The following is an 18,487-nucleotide window of genomic DNA, read 5'->3' as shown; positions in this document are numbered from 1 at the left end:
CACGATGGCTTACTTCAATCTCCTTTATTCAAAATCAAGCATGTGTATTCTTTCTGCCATGTCGGGAAGGGCAGGGCCATCAGCAGTGCCCACTCCAGACCACACTCTGGGACCCCAGAATGTCTTGCCAAGTGGCCCCTAGCCCACCTCTCAGGCCTGTGTGGTCCCTTCCCTGGTTTTGCCCACCATGCACCACCAGGCAGAAGGCCACTGCCTGTAGGTGCATGGACAGGGCTGGGAGGGAGGTCTGGGGCAGCCCTCCAATAGCTGGGTGGAGCTAGGTGGGGATGGAAAACACCAGGCTGCCTGCAGCTCCCTAAGCCACCACGCTGTGACCCAGGCCTTCAGGAGCCTTCAAATGCTAAACACCTGGCCATTTAGGAAGTGTGTTTCCTAGAGCTGTGTAACATAGTACCCCAGACTGGGTGCCTGAGAACAACAGAAATTTATTGTCTTATGGTTCAGGAGGCCAGAAGTCTGAGATCAGGGTGTCGGCAGGCCTGCAGTCCCTCCAAAAACTCCAGGAGAACAGCCTTCCTTGTATCATCCAGCTTCTGGCAGTTCCTTGGCCGGTGGCAACTTAACTCCTGTCTACACATGGTGCTCTCCCTGTGTCTCTCTGTGTTCAAATCTCTCTTCTAAGGACACCAGTCATATTAGATTAGAGCCCACCGTAATGTCCTCATCTTAACTTAAGACCCTATAAAGAGTCTGTAAAGACCGGCCAGGCTCAGTGGCTCACGCCTGTAATCCCAGCACATTGGGAGGCAGAGGCAGGTGGATCATAAGGTCAGGAGTTTGCGACCAGCCTGGCCAACATGGTGAAACCCTGTCTCTACTAAAAATACAAAAATTAGCTGGGCATGGTGGCGCGTGCCTGTAGTCCCAGTTACTTGGGAAGCTGAGGCAGGAGAATCACTTGAACCCGGGAGGCGGAGGTTGTGGTGAGCTGAGATTGTGCCACTGCACTCCAGCCTGGGCAACAGAGCAAGACACCATCTCAAGAAAAAAAAAAAAAAAAAGAAGAGTCTGTAAAGACCTTGTCTCCAAATAAGGTCATATTTGGAGGTACTGAGGGTTAGGACTTAAACATATAGATTTTGGGGGACACAGTTCAGCCCCTGACAGGTGGGATCAAGGAGGAAAGAGCATGTTTTTCTGAGCAGTCTGTCGCTTGGTTGGGTTGTGGACATTCAGGCTTGTGGCGCTGGGCCTCCATTTGTACTGTTAGGGGACCTGGAGGTGGCCTAAGGACCTCTGTCATGTCGTTTCCACAGGGAACTGTATGCCTTGCTGTGGCTCAGAACACCCATTTGCTGCCAAAAGGCCATCTTCAGGAGCTATGGGAGGGATCTGAGGCTGGTTCTGGAGGTGGGCCTGTCACCTATTTGAACACTGATCAGGGCCATCTTGTCCACCTTTTCCCAGGCCCTTGGAATGGTTTGCTCCTAGAAAGCCCAGCTATTCTAGCCATGCACGTGGGCGAAACTGAGGCATGTGAAAAGAACGGCACTGGCCCACTAGGGACAACCGCCTGGGGTGCCCCCTTCCATGGTGAGAACCATGGCTCTCTGACAGGCTTCCCTGATCCCTGGGGCAGGGGTGGGCACCCTTGCACTGAGTCTTCGTGTTCTCATCTGAGGGGTGGACATTGTCCTGCCACCCTCTCAAGGCAAGTGAGAGACTGTGATGTGCTCAGGATGGAGTGGTGGCCTCTAAGCTGGACTGTGAAGGCCCGTCAGCTTTTGAGCTTGGCCCACCCGCTCAGCTGTCCTAGTTGCCTGGTTTCCCAGACTCTCCAAGTCTAGGCACAAACTGGGAGCAGTGCTTAGGCTCTGCCTGCTTGGGTGTGTCTCCTTGCCTTCCTCACCCTCCTTCTCCATGGAGCCCTCCCTGATGGCACTCCCTGTCAGAGCCATTTCGTGCTGCCTGTCCTTAAGGCCTGCTCAGCCTGTGTCACGTCTCTGAAATGAAGAGGACATGTGGCCAGGTGTGGAGCTATGGACATGTGGCCGGATATGGCCGAGAGGATCACTTGAGGTCAGACACACCTGTAATCCCAGCTACTTGGGAGGCCGAGGCACGAGAATTGCTTGAACCTAGGAGGCGGAGGTTGCAGTGATCTGAGATTGCACCACTGCACTCCAGCCTGGGTGACAAAGGGAAACTGTGTCTCAAAAAAAAAAAAAAAAAAAAAAAAAACGCAAAACATATGGGCTTCCCTGCTGGAGGAGGCAGGGGAGGAGGCTAGGAGGAACGGATGGGCTGCTGGCTGCTGGTGAGGCAGGCCGGGAGAAGGAAGCAGAGTCAGGCACAGCCTGAGGAACTGACCAAAGCCACAGCCTCTTCCCAGCTCCATTTGCAACTGGGAGCACACAGTGCACTGTCAGTGGACACTTGTTGGATGGAACCTGGGAGGCAGGGGAGGCCTGCCAGCCCTGGGGCTCAGTGTTCCACTCTGTAACATGGGGGTCTTGTGCGCTGCCAGAGGTTTCCAGAGGAAGGTGAGGGTCTGGCTTGGGAGTTTCCTCTTTCCTCAGACCTTAGCTGAGGTGTTGCCACCCCCAGGAAGCCTTCCTCAACCCTTGATTTGCCTGACTCAGCACCCATGGGCCATGGTGGCCTGGGAGGGGACCCATGCAGAAGTCTGGTGGTGGCAGAGTTCTTGGCTTGGTGAGTTTTTCTAAAATTAGATAATAATTGTGGAAATCTAAAACAGTTTGTTTTGCCTTTTTTTTTTTTTTTTGACAAAGTCTTGCTCTGTCACCCAGGCTGGATTGCAGTGGCATGAGTTCAGCTCACTGCAACCTCCACCTCCTGGGTACATGCAATTCTCCTGCCTCAGACTTCCAAGTAGCTGGGATTACAGGCATGCACCACCACGCCCAGTTAATTTTTGTATTTTTAGTAGAAACAGGGTTTCACCATGTTGGTCAGAGTGGTCTTGAGCTCCTGACCTCAGGTGATGCACCCTCCCTGGCCTCTCAAAGTGCTGGGATTACAAGTGTGAGCCACTGCGCCCAGCCTGTTTTGCTTTATTCTTGATTTTAGTTTTTACTCAATAGAAAAATGAGATTTTTGTTCTGAAAACCTCTCACAATAGACCACGTCCAGAAAGTTCTTTTGCAAAAGGTAAGAGTCAGGGAAGCATTGGTGGCCTCATGGGTGTCCTCTCTTTTTAAAAACTGTATTACCTTTTAAAAACTAAAAGCAAAAAAAGAAAAAAAAAAAGTAACCTGACCTTGAAGCTCTAGCAGGCCAGATGTTTGCAGAGAAAACAATTTTCCCAAAAATGTTTTCTGCTGGGCCATCTGGAGCCCTCAACACCCACCACTTATCCTCCTAAAGCAAGGCAAGAGCCCTGTCCCCACTGTGCAGAGCGACAAAGGCCCCTCCCCGGGGGTACTCCCCTGCTGGGGCCTGAGCTGTGACCACCAGACTGTCCTACCTGGCTGCAGCCTGCACAAGCAGATCAGTCAGCCTGGGTGACATGACATCGAGCTGCCGCCCTCAGGTTCAGAAATGGTGATGCAGAGACACAAAGCAAGGCGCCCAGAGGGCAGAAGGAATGACAGATTCATGGAACAGCTACTACCAAACACCTACTGCATGCCAGGCCAGTTTAGAAGCTGGGATACAGCTGGGCCTAGGAGGGACAAACTCTGGCCAGGGGCTGCTCCCCCCATGCTCATCCTGCACACCAAGGCCTTTACCTGGCCACCACTGGGCTGGCAGATAGCAGGTCATCTTTTTTCCCACCCCTCAACTCTTTTTGTACTTTCTGAATTTTCCACAATGAGCATGTATCTATTCTCTGATAAGAAACAAGGATTTTAAATGCTTTGTAAATGTAAACTATTGCAAAATTTCCCACGGCCATTCTGATGTTCACTTGTCGGGAAAGATGTGGACTGACCTGGGTCCTCGGCTGCTAGGATTACACGGCATTACCATGCTCTAAGGAGTTACAACCAAGCATAGGATTTCAGGTGGGGGGTTGTGCTTTCATTGGCCTGGAGCTGTTCCCAGTTAAGCTGGCAGGTCAGGGGGTGCACAGGTGGGTCAAGGGCAGCCCGAGGCTTAATGCTGAAGAGCCAGTTAAGCTTCTTTGATGCCCGGCACCTGCGTAGCGAGCAGCGTGGGCCGCCAAGTGCCTGGTCACTGGAGAAGGGTGAGAGCCTCGCCTCCTCCCTCCCCACAGGCTTCCTGCCAGCTCCCACCCTGCCCCCGAAAGAGCAGTGGCTGCTCTGCCCTCACCAGCCCCCAGGCTCAGCGTGTTTTCATCCTGCCTCTTCACCAGCCCTCTGGTGGCCTCAGGTAAGCCCACACCCCCTGGGCTCCAGTTTCCCCACCTCCTCTCAAAAAGGGCTGAATCAGAGGGTCCTGACAGCCTGGGGCAGGTGCAGTGTGTCTGGCAGCCATGCCGCTGAATCTCAGAGTCTCTGCTCAGGCTGCTGAGGTTCCCTGGCTTATACCTTTGGAGAAGGCATTCCTGCCCGCCCCCCCGCCAGGGGGTATGGGGGTTACATCTGGATATGGCCCTCGGGTGGCCTCTCAGTGGCCTGTAAGGCTGGCTGAGACTCATCCATACAGAGACATCAGAGAGACTCAGCCTTAGGAAGCTCCTTGGAAGTCTCCTGTTTTACAGATGGGGAGACTGAGGCCTGCGGCGAGGGGAGAGTCTCCCTACAAACCAGGCTTTGGAGCCTGTCTGGGGTCAGCCTGTGGGACCTGGGCATGTGACTTGGGCTCTCCTTGCCTCAGTTTCCTCCCACTCCCCCACACAAAATGGGCATGCTAGGACTCCTGTCCCAGGGCCAAGGGTGGAGCCTGTGATAGATGGAGCTTTGCTGCATCTTTGGAGGAAAGTGGAGAGCAGGAAGGGCTGCTGGCGGCTCCCTGTCTACACTTGCCTCTCCCTCTGCCTGCGCTGGCAGCTCCAGTTTTCTAATAATCACCCAGTTACGTTGATGAGGGCTTCACCATCCCCATTTTACAGATGGGAAACTGAGGCTTAAGCTTGTGAGTCACATATTTGCTAAGTGGCTGCCTTAGTTGCAAAGGACAAAAACCCAAGTTAAACCCATGGATGAATAAGGAGGCAGGTTGTGGGTGATGGGGAAATGTGTCTGCAGGGCTCCATCTGTCTCTCCATCGCTCAGCATGCATTTCTCTGTCTATCGGCCTTATTCCACCCCACCATGGATGCTGCAGCTTTGGGGTTCTGAGCAAAGACCTCGCAGCTCACAGTCCTAGAGGCAGAGCAAGGCTCTCTCCCAGGATCCTAACATCTCATCCCAGGATGGATCACCCTCATCACTGTGGCCAGGTAGAGGCACTTGGCTGGGCAAGGGTTCCAGTACCTCTGTACCTGTCACTGGATAACCACAGATACTTCTTAGAATGGCAATAATCCTTTCCTTTGCTCACAAACCTACAATTTAGGCAGGACCCAGCATCTGGTCTCTGCTCCACGGGGAGGTTCAGCTGGAGCACAGATCCATTCCCAGGCCGGCTCATCACAGGCCGACACTCTGGTGCAGGCTGTTGACTACTCTCCCTAGGGCGGCTTGAGCTTTCTCACAGCCTACTGGCTGGCTTTCCAGGAGCAAGCATTCCAGAGGACAGGAAGTGGAAGCTGCCAGTTTCTCAAGGCCTCAGCCCAGAAACGACACTGCTGTTATATTATTTTCACCAAAAATAGAGCTCAGAGTCAAAGACCTCACTTTCAATGGGAGTGTCAACAAATTGAAGTGCCACTGTGCTTTGGATACGAGCACCAGACCAGGTTGTTCTCAACCACTTCTTGAGTATCTGCTGTGCACCTGAGCTCCAGAAGCCTGCTCCACATTAGAACACCAAGATCAAGCTGAGACCCAAAATGTAAGCATGATCCCATGACTTTTATTTTTTTCCCTTTTTTTTTTTTTTTTGAGATGGAGTCTCGCTCTGTTGCCCAGGCTGGAGTGCAGTGGCACGATCTCGGCTCACTGCAAGCTCCGCCTCCCAGGTTCACACCATTCTTCTGCCTCAGCCTCCCGAGTAGCTGGGACTACAGGCGCCCACCACCACGCCTGGCTATTTTTTTGTATTTTTAGTAGATACAGGGTTTCACCGTGTTAGTCAGGATGGTCTCGATCTCCTGACCTCATGATCCGCCCGCCTCGGCCTCCCAAAGTGCTGGGATTACAGGCGTGAGCCACCGCACCCAGCCCCCATTTTTTTTTGATAAAACACAGACACACACATATACAGACAGATCCAAACACAGGGAGTGGCTGGAGGGTGCTAAGTGTGTGGTGGTAATACCGGGTGGAGATACAGGTGAGGTGCTTGTTCTTAGTGCCTACCCGTATTTGCTAAACTGTTTAGCGGAATGTCCCATTTCATTTGTCTGTACTTCTGAGCTGTAAGGATGCTGTCTTAGGAGGCAGGCGGGTGCAGCCCATTACCAGAGACAAGACCATCTTTCGTAGTCAGTCATGAGCGCATATGAATCTGATGATGGTGTGCAGTTTGTTTTTTCCCTTAGGCCTGGCTTAACCCAGGTGGGTCCAAGCTCACGGGGCCATCCAGGGTCTCCCTGCGCTTTTTTCTTCTCTATTTTTTTGAGACAGAGTCTTACTCTGTTGCCGAGGCTGGAGTGCAGAGGCACGATCTCAGCTCACTGCAATCTCTGCCTCCCAGGTTCAAGCGATTCTCCTGGCTCAGCCTCCCCGGTAGCTGGGATTACAGGCACGTACCACCACACCCAGCTAATTTTTGTATTTTAGTAGAAACAGGCTTTCACCATGTTGGCCAGGCTGGTCTCAAACTCCTGACCTCAAGTGATCCGCCTGCCTCAGCTTCCCAAAGTGCTGAGATTACAGGCGTCAGCCACCGCCCCCAGCCCCCTGCGCTCTTTTCTTTATTGTCTCCTTGAACCCCCATGGTCCTGAGCCCTCCTGGAAACCACCTCATTCTCGGCTCCTCAGAGAGAATTACAGAGGGCAAGGAGAGGGCCAAAGCTAGCCCATTTGGTGACTTTGTACAAATTTGGAGGAGGCCACATCCCTGAGGGTGGTACATGGGCTGGATCTCAGTGTATGTACATATTCATTAGTGCCTCTGTGCAGTGGATGACCTGCTTAACTGAACATGGCGATCCTAGGTGGGGATCATGTCACTGCAGCCTTCAGGGGGCTAAGAGCTCACTGGTCCTGCACTACAGACCACTTTCTGTAGTGCAAATGGCCACTGCCTCTGGAAGCCAGACTTCAAGAAATGGTTATGCAAACAGGCCCCTGCCCGGCTCTTCCATGGAGTCAAAAGTCCTTCCCCTTGCTTCCCGTTTTTTTTTTTTTTTTTTTTTTTGAGATGGAGTCTCGCTCTGTTGCCAGGCTTGAGTGCAGTGACGTGATCTCGGCTCACTGCAACCGCTGCCTCCCGGGTTCAAGCAATTCTCCTGCCTCAGCCTCCCGAGTAGCTGGGACTACAGGTGCGCACCACCATGCCCAGCTAATTTTTGTATTTTTAGTAGAGACCTCACCATGTTGGCGAGGATGGTCTGGATCTCTTGACCTCGTAATCCACCTGCCTTGGCCTCCCAAAGTGCTGGGATTACAGGCATGAGCCACTGCGCCCAGCTGCTTCCCAATTTTATTCCATCCACTCATTAATACTGACAGGCTCTGCCTGTCTCTGTGCTCCACGCTGCTGGCCCTGGAGATCTCCCAAATCCACAGGGCCCAGGAGCAAAGTCCTCACTCCCCAGTGGAGCAGGAGACACCCTCCCCCAGCCTGTCCCTACAGTGTTCCAGCTGCAGTGACTTTCCTCCCCCAGCCTGTCCGTACAGTGTTCCAGCTACAGTGACTTCCCTGCCCCAGCCCTGTCCCCACTGTGTTCCAGCTGCAGTGACTTTCCTGCCCGCTCTGCTCAGCTCTGTGGCCCTGCTGGTGCTTCAGCACTCAGCTCGGGCACCACCTTCTTCAGCAAGGATTCTCTAGCCATCCAGGGTTGGGCTGGACCACAGGTTTGCTCCCTCCTCAAATCCCCTGCAGACAAATCATACCTCAAGGGCAGGAACCATGCCTGGCTCATCTCTGTGGCCCCAGAGCCCAGCATGGGGCCAGGCACAGAGCAGGCACTGGTGATGGTCTGCAGAACATGCAAGTGAGACACAGTCCGAATAGGTAATGTGGTCAATGACGCTGGAAAACACCTGTTGTTCTTTTCTCTCCTCTCACCAAACCGAGCTATAGTTCAGAATGTGGAATTTGGCATCAGGCTGCCCTGAGCTGAAACCCTGGTCCTGAGCCAGCTGACTTTGGTCTGGTCACCTGTAGCAGATGCCGTCTGTGCCTGCCATGTCTCCTCAGCCATGCCCACTCGGGGGCCTCAGCCCAACTTCTAGCGGCTGGAGACTCCCTCTGGGGGCCCATATTAATCATATTTTTTTATTTTCTGTATTCTGATGCTTTGACATCTTGGGGACTTGCTGACCTGGAGTGACAGCCCCTCCCAGGGATAGCCAGTCCCTAGAGAGTAAAGGACTTGCCTGTGATCATGCCTTTCAAGTGCAAACCAACCAACCCAGAGCCCACATCCTACACCTCCTCTCCAGGGCTACCACACTCTGGGCCACCATCCCCCTGCACTCCTCACCCTGAGGCAGGTACCAGACACTCAGCAAGAGCCTCTGTGCCCCAGAGCCCACTGAAATGATTCACACCAGCCAGTACTCAGCCTGCTTGCCCTGCTTGCCCATGCCTTCCTTCAAAACCACAGTAAAGGCTCCGGCCCACACTTCCCCCATTCCCTCTGCCTCCTGACCAACCCTGGTGCTTCCCTGTGTGGCCCTTCAAGGGTGGAGGCCTCTTCCACTTGGGATCTGTGATAGCAAGCTATCTTCTCAATGGTAGTTGTCTACTGATCTGCTGGCCTCACCATACCTGAATAATAATCAAGCCGGAATCATTGTCAGACAGGTCCAGGCCAGGCGCGGTGGCTCACGCCTGTGATCCCAGCACTTTGGGAGGCCGAGGTGGGCGGATCACGAGGTCAGGAGATCGAGACCATCCTGGCTAACACAGTGAAACCCCATCTCTACTAAAAATACAAAAAATTAGCCGGACATGGTGGCGGGTGCCTGTAGTCCCAGCTACTTGGGAGGCTGAGGCAGGAGAATGGCGTGAACCCGGGAGGCAGAGCTTGCAGTGAGCCAAGATCACGCCATTGCACTCCAGCCTGGGGGACAGTGAGACTCCATCTCAAAAACAACAACAACAAAAAAAAACAAAACAAAACAAGTCCAAAGCCCCTCTGCTCATGCAGGGCAGGCCAGAAATGTAGGGGAATGAATTAGTGGTCCCAAGAGCAGCCCTCAACCAGTGTCTCCAAGTGTCTCCTGGTGTCTCCCAGGTGTTGGAGGGTAAATGCCCAGCTGGATGGTACCGGGGTGACTGTCTACCCTGTGAGAAGCCAGAACTGAGCTGGCATTCACAGCTCCCGTTGAACATAAACAGTCTCACAGGGCATCAATATCAGACAAGACCACTTCAACATCTTGTCTTGGCACAGAAAAAGCAAAGTCACAGGCCAAGTGTGGAGGCTCACGCCTGTAATCCCACCACTTTGGGAGGCTGACGCAGATGGATAACCTTGAGCCCAGGAGTTCAAGACCAGCCTGGCTAACATGGCGAAACTCAATCTCTACTAAAAAAATACAAAAATTAGCTGGGCATGGTAGTAGGCACCTGTAATCCCAGCTACGTGAGAGGCTGAGGCAGGAGAATCGTTTGAACCCGGGAGGCAGAGGTTGCAGTGAGCCGAGATCATGCCATTGCACTCCACCTGGGTGACAGAGAAAGACTCAGTCTCAAAAAAAAAAAAAAAAAAAAAAAAAGGAAAAAAGTCCCTGGAAAGACAATACCAATATCCTGGGTGATACGAGTGGCTGCTGTTTCATACCAATTGCAGCTTGAGCCTCATTTCATTCCTCTGCTTTCTGATGGAATGTATTAAAATACCCAAGCATAGAATTGCTCCCGATAGCATCCAGTGCAGACTGGCTTTTGAACCCCCTTCAAAACCACCTAACACAGCCCAAATCCTACTCTACGTCCTCCCTACAAGCATCCCATTGCAATGCCCTAGGCTTTCCCAACACATGTGCTCCCGCTCATTGCAGCAAGTCTGCAAATCCAACTTTGTTCATCAGCAGATGTGTTCTGGGGCTCTTAACTGGAGGATGGAGTAGTAGCTACCAGACTCCCCAGCAGACTAAGTTCCAGTTGCCTCCAGACCTAATAGCTTAATTACCCACCCTGTGTGTTAGTGTCCCACGGTCACTGCAACAAAGTACCACAAATCGGGGCCTCAAAACAAAGGCATTCTTGGTACTCCTTGGCTTGTAGCTGCACCACTCCAATCTCTACCTCCACCACCACATCTCTGTGTCTTTTCTTCTTATTGGGACACTAGTTATTGGATTTATGGCCCATCCTAATCCAGTATGACTTCTATATCTAACTATATCTGCAAAGATCTTATTTCCAAATAAGATCACATTCTGACGTTCCAGGCAGACATAAATTTGCAGGTACACTATTGAACCCACTACAGTTGGAACTCCCAAAGGTTACTGTGGTCCCATGTTCAAAACACATTCACCTCATCCCAATATCCTCCAAAGTCTGAGCGCCTTCCAAAAGGGAGAAAAGGGGCCAGGCACGGTGGCTCATGCCTGTAATCCCAGCACTTTGGGAGGCTGAGGCGGGTGGATCACAAGGTCAGGAGATTGAGACCACCCTGGCTAACGAAACTCTATCTTTACTAAAAATACAAAAAATTAGCCAGGCATGGTGGCGGGTGCCTGTAGTCCCAGCTACTCAGGAGGCTGAGGCAAGAGAATGGCATGAACCTGGGAGCCAGAGTTTGCAGTGAGCGGAGATCGCACCACTGCACTCCAGCCTGGGCAACAGAACGAGACTCCATCTCAAAAAACAAACAAACAACCACAACAAAAAACAAAAGGGAGAAAAGGGAAGAAACGAAAGGATCACTTGGTCCTAAGCAAGTCTGAGGCCCAGCAGGCAGCCACCCTCCTGCCACACCCCCCCACCCCACCCCTAGCCTGTCTCTGCACCCATGTCTGCTGTCCTCCAAGACATTCTTCCTTCATTTCATCCCATCCCCACGCCTTTTTCTTTTTCTTTTTTTTTTTTAGACGGAGTCTCGCTCTGTTGCCCAGGCTGGAGTGCAGTGGTGCGGTCTCAGCTCACTGCAAGCTCTGCCTCCCAGGTTCACGCCATTCTCCTGCCTCAGCCTCCCAAGTAACTGGGACTACAGGCGCCTGCCACCACACCTGGCTAATTTTTTTTGTATTTTTTTTTTAGTATAGACGGGGTTTTCACCGTGTTATCCAGGATGGTCTCCATCTCCTGACCTCGTGATCCACCCACCTCGGCCTCCCAAAGTGCTGAGATTGCAGGCATGAGCCACCATGCCTAGCACCCCCATGCCTTTCAATCCAGGCTGGCAGCATTTCTGCTGGTGTAACATTCTCAGAAATCTTGTTGGTCTCCTGTGTAGTTTACAGGGACCCATGCCATCAGACAAGAGGCTCTATCCACAGATCATTCCTGGATAACCTCATCTCTATTCCTCAATTCCACTGAGATGGTTGATTGGATCCACGAGTCACATTCATAATGTCTTCAACAAAATGTCCAACAACACCCTTGGTGTTCTCTTCACACTTTCTCTCCACATTTTCTCAATAGTGAATTTGCTAATTTAGCAATCTGGACAGGCTAAGGGCTTCCTAGATTACCAAGTACAGTTCCTTTTTGCTTAACAGTTCCTTCCTCAATTTATCTCTTTTCTCTTAAAAGAGATAAATTGCTACAAGCAGCAAAGACAAACCAGGCCATACCTTCTACACTGTTTGGAAATCTACTTTCTTTTTTTTTTTTTTTTTTGAGACGGAGTCTTGTTCTGTCACCCAGGCTGGAGTGCAGTGGTGCGATCTCGGCTCACTGCAAGCTCCGCCTCCTGGGTTCATGCCATTCTCCTCCCTCAGCCTCCTGAGTAGCTGAGACTACAGGCGCCTGCCACCATGCCCGGCTAATTTTTTTTTGTATTTTTAGTAGAGATGGGGTTTCACCGTGTTAGCCAGGATGGTCTCGATCTCCTGACCTCGTGATCTGCCCGCCTCGGCCTCCCAAAGTGCCAGGATTACAGGCGTGAGCCAACACGCCCAGCTGGAAGTCTCCTACTTTCTACCCAACACTAGAATGTAGTTCAGCCAACTTCTCTACCACTCTATAACAAAGATCACTTTTCCTCCTCTTTCCAATAGCATGTTCCTTACTCTCTTCTAAGGCCTCACCAGAAGCACCTGTGATGTTCCTATTTCTACCAACATTCTGTTCTTTTTTTTTTTTCTTTTTTTGAGATGAAGTCTCGTTCTGCCGCCCAGGCTAGAGTGCAGTGGTGCGACCTCAGCTCACTGCAACCTCCATCTCCTGGGTTTAAGTGATTCTCCTGCCTCAGCCTCCCCAGTAGCTGGGACTACAGGCGTGTGCCACCACACCCAACTAATTTTTGTATTTTTAGTAGAGACAGGGTTTCACCATATTGGTCAAGCTAGTCTTTTTTTTTTTTTTAATTTATTATTATTATTTTTTGAGATGGAGTCTCACTCTGTCGCCCAGGCTGGAGTGCAGTGGCACGATCTCGGCTCACTGCAAGCTCCGCCTCCTGGGTTCACACCATTCTCCTGCCTCAGCCTCCCGAGTAGCTGAGACTACAGACGCCCGCCACCATGCCCAGCTAATTTTTTGTATTTTTAGTAAAGACAGGGTTTCACCGCGTTAGCCAGGATGGTCTCGATCTCCTGACCTCATGATCCGCCTGCCTCAGCCTCCCAAAGTGCTGGGATTGCAGGTGTGAGCCACCGCACCTGGCCTGTTCTTGATGATATATATATTCTTTAAGATGACAGATTTCGGTTGGGCATGGTGTCTTATGCCTCTAATTCCAGCACTTTGGGAGGCCAAGGCAGGTGGATCACCTGAGGTCAGAAGTTTGAGACCAGCCTGACTAACATGGTGAAACCCCCATCTCTACTAAAAATACAAAAAATTAGCCAGGCGTGGTGGCAGGTGCCTGTAATCCCAGCTACTCGGGAGGCTTAGGCAGGAGAATTGTTTGAACCCAGGAGGCAAAGGTTGCAGTGAGCTGAGATCACGTCATTTGCACTCCACCCTGGGCAACAAGAGTGAGACTCTGTCTCAAAAAAAAAACGATAGATTTCTCTACGTTTTTCTTTGATTTTAAGCCTCATGAGGAACACCTTAAATAAATGTCCACTTTTCTACCAACAAGCACTTGAAGGCCATCTAGGCTTTTTCTATCAAGCACCTCAAAACTCTTCCAGGTTCTACCCATTATTCAACTTGAAAGCTACTTTTGTATTTTCAAAAATTTGTCACAGCAGCACCTCACTTCCTGGTACAAAATCTGTATTAGTTTTCTAGGGCTACTGTACAAATTAATTCTCTCACAGTTCTGGAGGCCAGGAGTCTAAAATCAAGGTGTTGGTAGGGCCAAGACCGTTTTGAATGCTCTAGGGGAGGAGGATCCTTCCTTGCCTCTTCCTAGTCTCTGGTGACTCCCAGAAATCCTTGATATTCTTTGGCTTGTAGAGGCATCACTCTACTCTCTGCCTCTGCTGTCCCATGGCCTTCTTCCCTGAGTGTATCTCTCCTCTTCTTTTTTTTTTTTTTTTTTTTTGAGACAGAGTCTTGCTCTGTTGCCCAGGCTGGAGTGCAGTGGTGCAATCTTGGCTCATTGCAACCTCCACTTCCTGGGTTCAAACGATTCTCTTGCCTCAGCCTCCCGAGTAGCTGGGACTACAGCCATGCACCACCACACCAGTTAATTTTTGTATTTTTAGTACAGATGGGGTTTCACCATGCTGGGCAGGCTGGTCTCGATCTCCTGACCTCATGATCCACCCCACCCCCCCCGGCCTCCCAAAGTGCTGGGATTACAGGTGTGAACCACTGCACCCGGCCCTCTCCTCTTCTTATAGGGGCAAAAATCATTGGATTTAGGGCCTTTCCTAATCCAATATGGCTGTTATAACTCTCATTCATATTAATGCTGCCTCAGCATCCATCTTGTCCTGTCCCTGGCTTGTCACACCTGACGTACATATTTTGACACAGTCTCCATGCAGTTCCTGTTTTTGCATTTTGGATAGATAAGGTCTCATACTTTGTACTGCAGGGTCACCTTACTTCTGCTTTAAGTCTGGTGAACTTGACAGTGTAGCCAAGTTCCAGTGCTTACCCTCACACTCCCTTTAAATCAACCAATGAGCCCCTGACTCGGGAAACGCACGTAGGTAACACCCTGGACCCCAGTAAAGACTTTGGCCCCCAGATCCCTCTCTTTTTCTCCTTACCTGCTGCTGAGCACATATGTCCCAGACGTCCCCTCCCCTTCCCATGGGCCTTGTGAACCATGCTGCCCTCTGCTCCCTGGGCTTTGTGAATTAGAAACTCAATCCTTTTGCCATTTTGGTCTGAGGTCCCCCACTGACTAAACCGAACCTAACCTAAATGCCTCACTTAAGTCACAAACAGTGACCTCATCTTAATTTAATGAATTGCATCTTATTTCCAAATCAGGCCATGTGCTGAGGTTCTGGATGGACATGAATTTGGAGGTGACATTATTCAACACACTGTACCTTGAAAGGCTTTCAGCCTTTCTCTGCCTCAATCTCCACTCCCCTATTCGGTTTCCTAGATCACTTCCCAAATAAACTCCTTGCATTGAAATCTACATAGCAGGGCCTGCTACTAGGAGAACACGCCTAAGGCATGGCCTCCCCATGCTGAGCTGCACGGTCCTTCTCTCCATGCAGGTGAGGGCAGTAGCCCTTTCCTGTGAGGTTTTGTTGAGGGCAGAGGAGAGAATCCTGTTGTCTCACAGAGCAAAATATTCATTTCATGACTCCGGGAAGAGGGGTGCTTTGAGACTATACCCCAATATAATTTTTCTTTTCTTGTTTTTTTTTTTTTGTTTGTTTTTTTTTTTTTTTGAGACGGAGTCTTACTCTGTCGCCAGGCTGGAGTGCAGTGGTGTGATCTCGGCTAACTGCAACCTCTGCCTCCCAGGTTCAAGTGATTCTCCTGCCTCAGCCTCTTGAGTAGCTGGGACTACAGGCGCATGCCATCATACCCAGCTAATTTTTGTATTTTTAGTAGAGATGAGGTTGTTTCACCATGTTGGCCAGAATGGTGTTGATTTCTTGACCTCATGATCCGCCTGCCTTGGCCTCCCAAAGTGCTTTACAGGCGTGAGCCACCGCACCCGGCCATGATTTTTCTTAAATGTGAATGGGCTATTCAGGTGTCAGCAGTTTTTCAATGTCTCTTTGGGACAGATGTTGTTGGAAGGGGTGGATCTTTTTTTTTTTTTTTTCTGAGATGGAGTCTTGCTTTGTTGCCCAGACTGGAGTGCAGTGGTGCAATCTCGGCTCACTGCAACCTCCACCTCCTGTGTTCAAGCAATTCTCCTGCCTCGGCCTCCTGAGTAGCTGGGATTATAGGCATCCACCACCACGCCTGGATGATGTTTTTGTGTTTTTAGTAGAGATGAGATTTCACCACGTTGGCCAGGCTGGTCTCAAACTCCTGACCTCAGGTGATCCGCCTGCCTTGGCCTCCCAAAGTGCTGGGATTACAGGCGTGAGCCACCATGCCTGGCTGGGGGTGAATAATTTACGTGAGTTTTGATAAGGTAAAGGGAAAGCCAAGCTTCCTTTCTGAGATGGAGATTCATGAGGAAGTTTTGTGTAGAATTTATAGTGGACAGCACTGGGGCACTGAAGACTGAGCTCTCCAAGGGGGCCAGGCCTGGCCCCGGCAGAAAAGAGGAAGAGATGCTATAAGCCTGGATGCTGGGTGGGGGAAATATGGCCAAGGCAGGAATTTTGGAGAGCAGAGGCTGATCCCTGCAACACAGTGGCTGGGTGGACAAGGACAGCAGTTGGCAGAAAACCTGACTCCACGTGAAATTTATTGACTCATGTAACTACTCTAGATGAAACCAGAGATCTGACTTCCTCCAACCTCTGTTTGGGCCTCATTGGGAGGCTCTTCCAGTTCCAAGATGGCTGCCCAAGCTCAGCAGCCAGGCTCCCTCCTGCCATCAAGGGGTGGGGAGGCCATCTTGGGTCATGTGACCATGCAGACCAATCACTGTGGCCAAGGGAATGAGGATGCTGATTGGCTTGGGTCAAGTCACGGGATCCCAAGAGGTGGAGTCTGCTTCCTGAAACACCTTGACTTTCCAGAAATTCGGGGCTCAGCTGACACACACCCAGCCTCTAGCTCTTTCTCTCTTAGGTGATGATACCCATTGCTGTCCCCAAGCCTCCAGGGCACAGCCTTGTGTTTGCCCCACCCTGGCTAGACAGGGAGGGTTGAGTCCAGCCTGGGGCCAGTACTGGGCATCCGTCAACCAGGGTGGGAGGAGGCCCCAAGGGAGCAAGGACAGACGCGTGGAAGTGGGCAGGCTGCTGCCGTCAGGGACCCCGGGAACACTCACGTCCAAGGCAGCACTAAGGCCTGCACCTCCTGTGGCCCAGCTGGAAGGGGCCTTAGTACACAAGGGGTTCAAGGGCCATGGAGCCTGACAGCTGGGAGATGGCATGTAGCTGCTGTCCGACCACACAGTTGTCATCCTGGCTAAGCTGCAGCCTTCTGGAGGCTTGTGGGAGCCTCTGTCAGAGCTTCCCACCTAGGAGCAGGGCACCAAGCCCAGAAATCCACCAAGGCAGTGTGAGGAGAGCAGGGTAGGCCCTGGGGCTGGGCGGCCCAAGCGGCTGCTTTCCAGGATAGAATGTATAGAATGTGGGGTGCGGGCCTGGCTGCTCCCCGACGGCCTGCCCTGCCTCCCTTTTTGGCCCACCCAGACCTCCAGGTTTATCTAACAACCCTGGAACTGAGGGAGGAACCCTGGAGGTAGACTGGAGGTACACTGGAGCCCGTGGCTTCCAGTGGCTCCCTTTCCCCAACCTCAGTTTTCTCCCCAGTAAATGGAGAGGAATCCTTCACCCATAGTAACGATGTGAATGATGTTGTGGGCAGGGAGCAGCCTGGCCTCTTGTCGCAGCCAGCTGCTGCAGGGACCACCAGGTGCCCCTGGGGAACCATGACTGCTTCAATCTGGCGCGAGAGGGAGGTCCTGAGGGGAAGGGTGGAGGGGCCTGGACCATACCTGCCCAGTGCCAGGCGCTGCCTGCATGGACATAGTGTTTCAGCTTCAGAGCCAACCGCCGCTGGCCCTGCCTACTGAGGCCCAGAAAGTACGGTGTCTTGGGGTGGGTGCCTGAAGGAATGGGCTGTGGGGTCATGATGCAGCCACCCCCAGGCACCGGCTGGGCCCAAAGCTCTCCCTGGATGTCCCTGGAGGGATCGTCCAGAGGGAGTTTGTTGGCAGAAACAGAGCAAGCAACCCCGAGGGGAGGTGAGCCCACCCTTCTTCCTGCACACTCACTGCCAGAACTGGCTGCTCAGAGGGGCTTGGATTCTGGGAAGTGGGAGATGCTCCTGGGGCAGCTGGTGATAAGACAGAGTTCTGGAGGCCCCCATGGCTGCAGGGAGGGCAGGGCTGGGACCACCCGAAGGCCTGGGCTCTGGCCTCTGGGGTAAGTCGCCCTCTTAGGCTGGGGCTTGTGGGGGCTAGTGGCTTTTCAGAGGCCCTGTCCTACTGCAGATCCTGCTGCCTCCGTGGGACGGTGGGAGGCAGGCACAGCGGGAATTGGACTGACCTGCATCCCAGTCTCCCTCTGCCCATGTCCTGGGGGCATGGAAGCTTGTCTGGGTCTTAGTGTGCCCATCTTTACAACAGGACCAACTATCTGAGAAGGAGCTGACTCTGATGTCCCCGAGACCCAGGATGGTGAGTGAGGCAAGGGAGCACTGAGCCTTTATGACCTCAGGCAGCCTCTACTTTCCCATCTATAAAATGAGGATTCCAGACCCAAAGTGCTCAGGGCCCCTATGGCAAGGCAGGAGTCACTGAGCCTTTCCAAGGCTATGGACAGGTATTCACTGAGCACCTACTGTGGGCCAGGCACTGCTAAAGGGGCTGCTTCCTGCCCTCTCGGAGCTTCTATTCTATGTGGGAAAAGAGAGGTTAAACAAGAGAGCAAATGGATAAACAAAAAAGTGGAAAGGCTGGAGGGCTGTCTGCAGAGGCGGTGTCTGAGCACAGTAAGCGTTGAGGAGGTGGCCCACAAAGCCCTGCAGGAAGAGCCCCCGGGCCCAGGGAACAGCATGTGCCAAGGCCCCAGGGGGAAAGGAGGCTGGCGGTTCTGAAGGCCAGGTAGCTGCAGCCTGGTGATGGGGCTGAAAGTGTGACTCTGGCTGGGGCTACAGGTGGTGTTTTGTCCCGTCCCAGAAATCCAAATGATGCTCAGTGCAC

At 52.1% G+C, this 18,487-nt stretch overlaps 1 annotated feature.

Moving 5' to 3' along the window:
* Positions 7,204–7,861: an enhancer, noted in NCBI's record as "H3K4me1 hESC enhancer chr9:95811946-95812603 (GRCh37/hg19 assembly coordinates)". NCBI's record gives its function as "activates a minimal SCP1, AML or CMV promoter by ChIP-STARR-seq in primed H9 embryonic stem cells {active_cell/tissue: H9 hESC(primed)}" and the evidence as "EXISTENCE:reporter gene assay evidence [ECO:0000049][PMID:30033119]".

The sequence above is a fragment of the Homo sapiens genome, chromosome 9, assembly GCF_000001405.40.
Source record: "Homo sapiens chromosome 9, GRCh38.p14 Primary Assembly".
Classification (NCBI taxonomy): Eukaryota; Metazoa; Chordata; class Mammalia; order Primates; family Hominidae; genus Homo; species Homo sapiens.
Note: the sequence above shows the minus strand (reverse complement) of the source record. Positions and strands in the feature narration are given on the sequence as shown.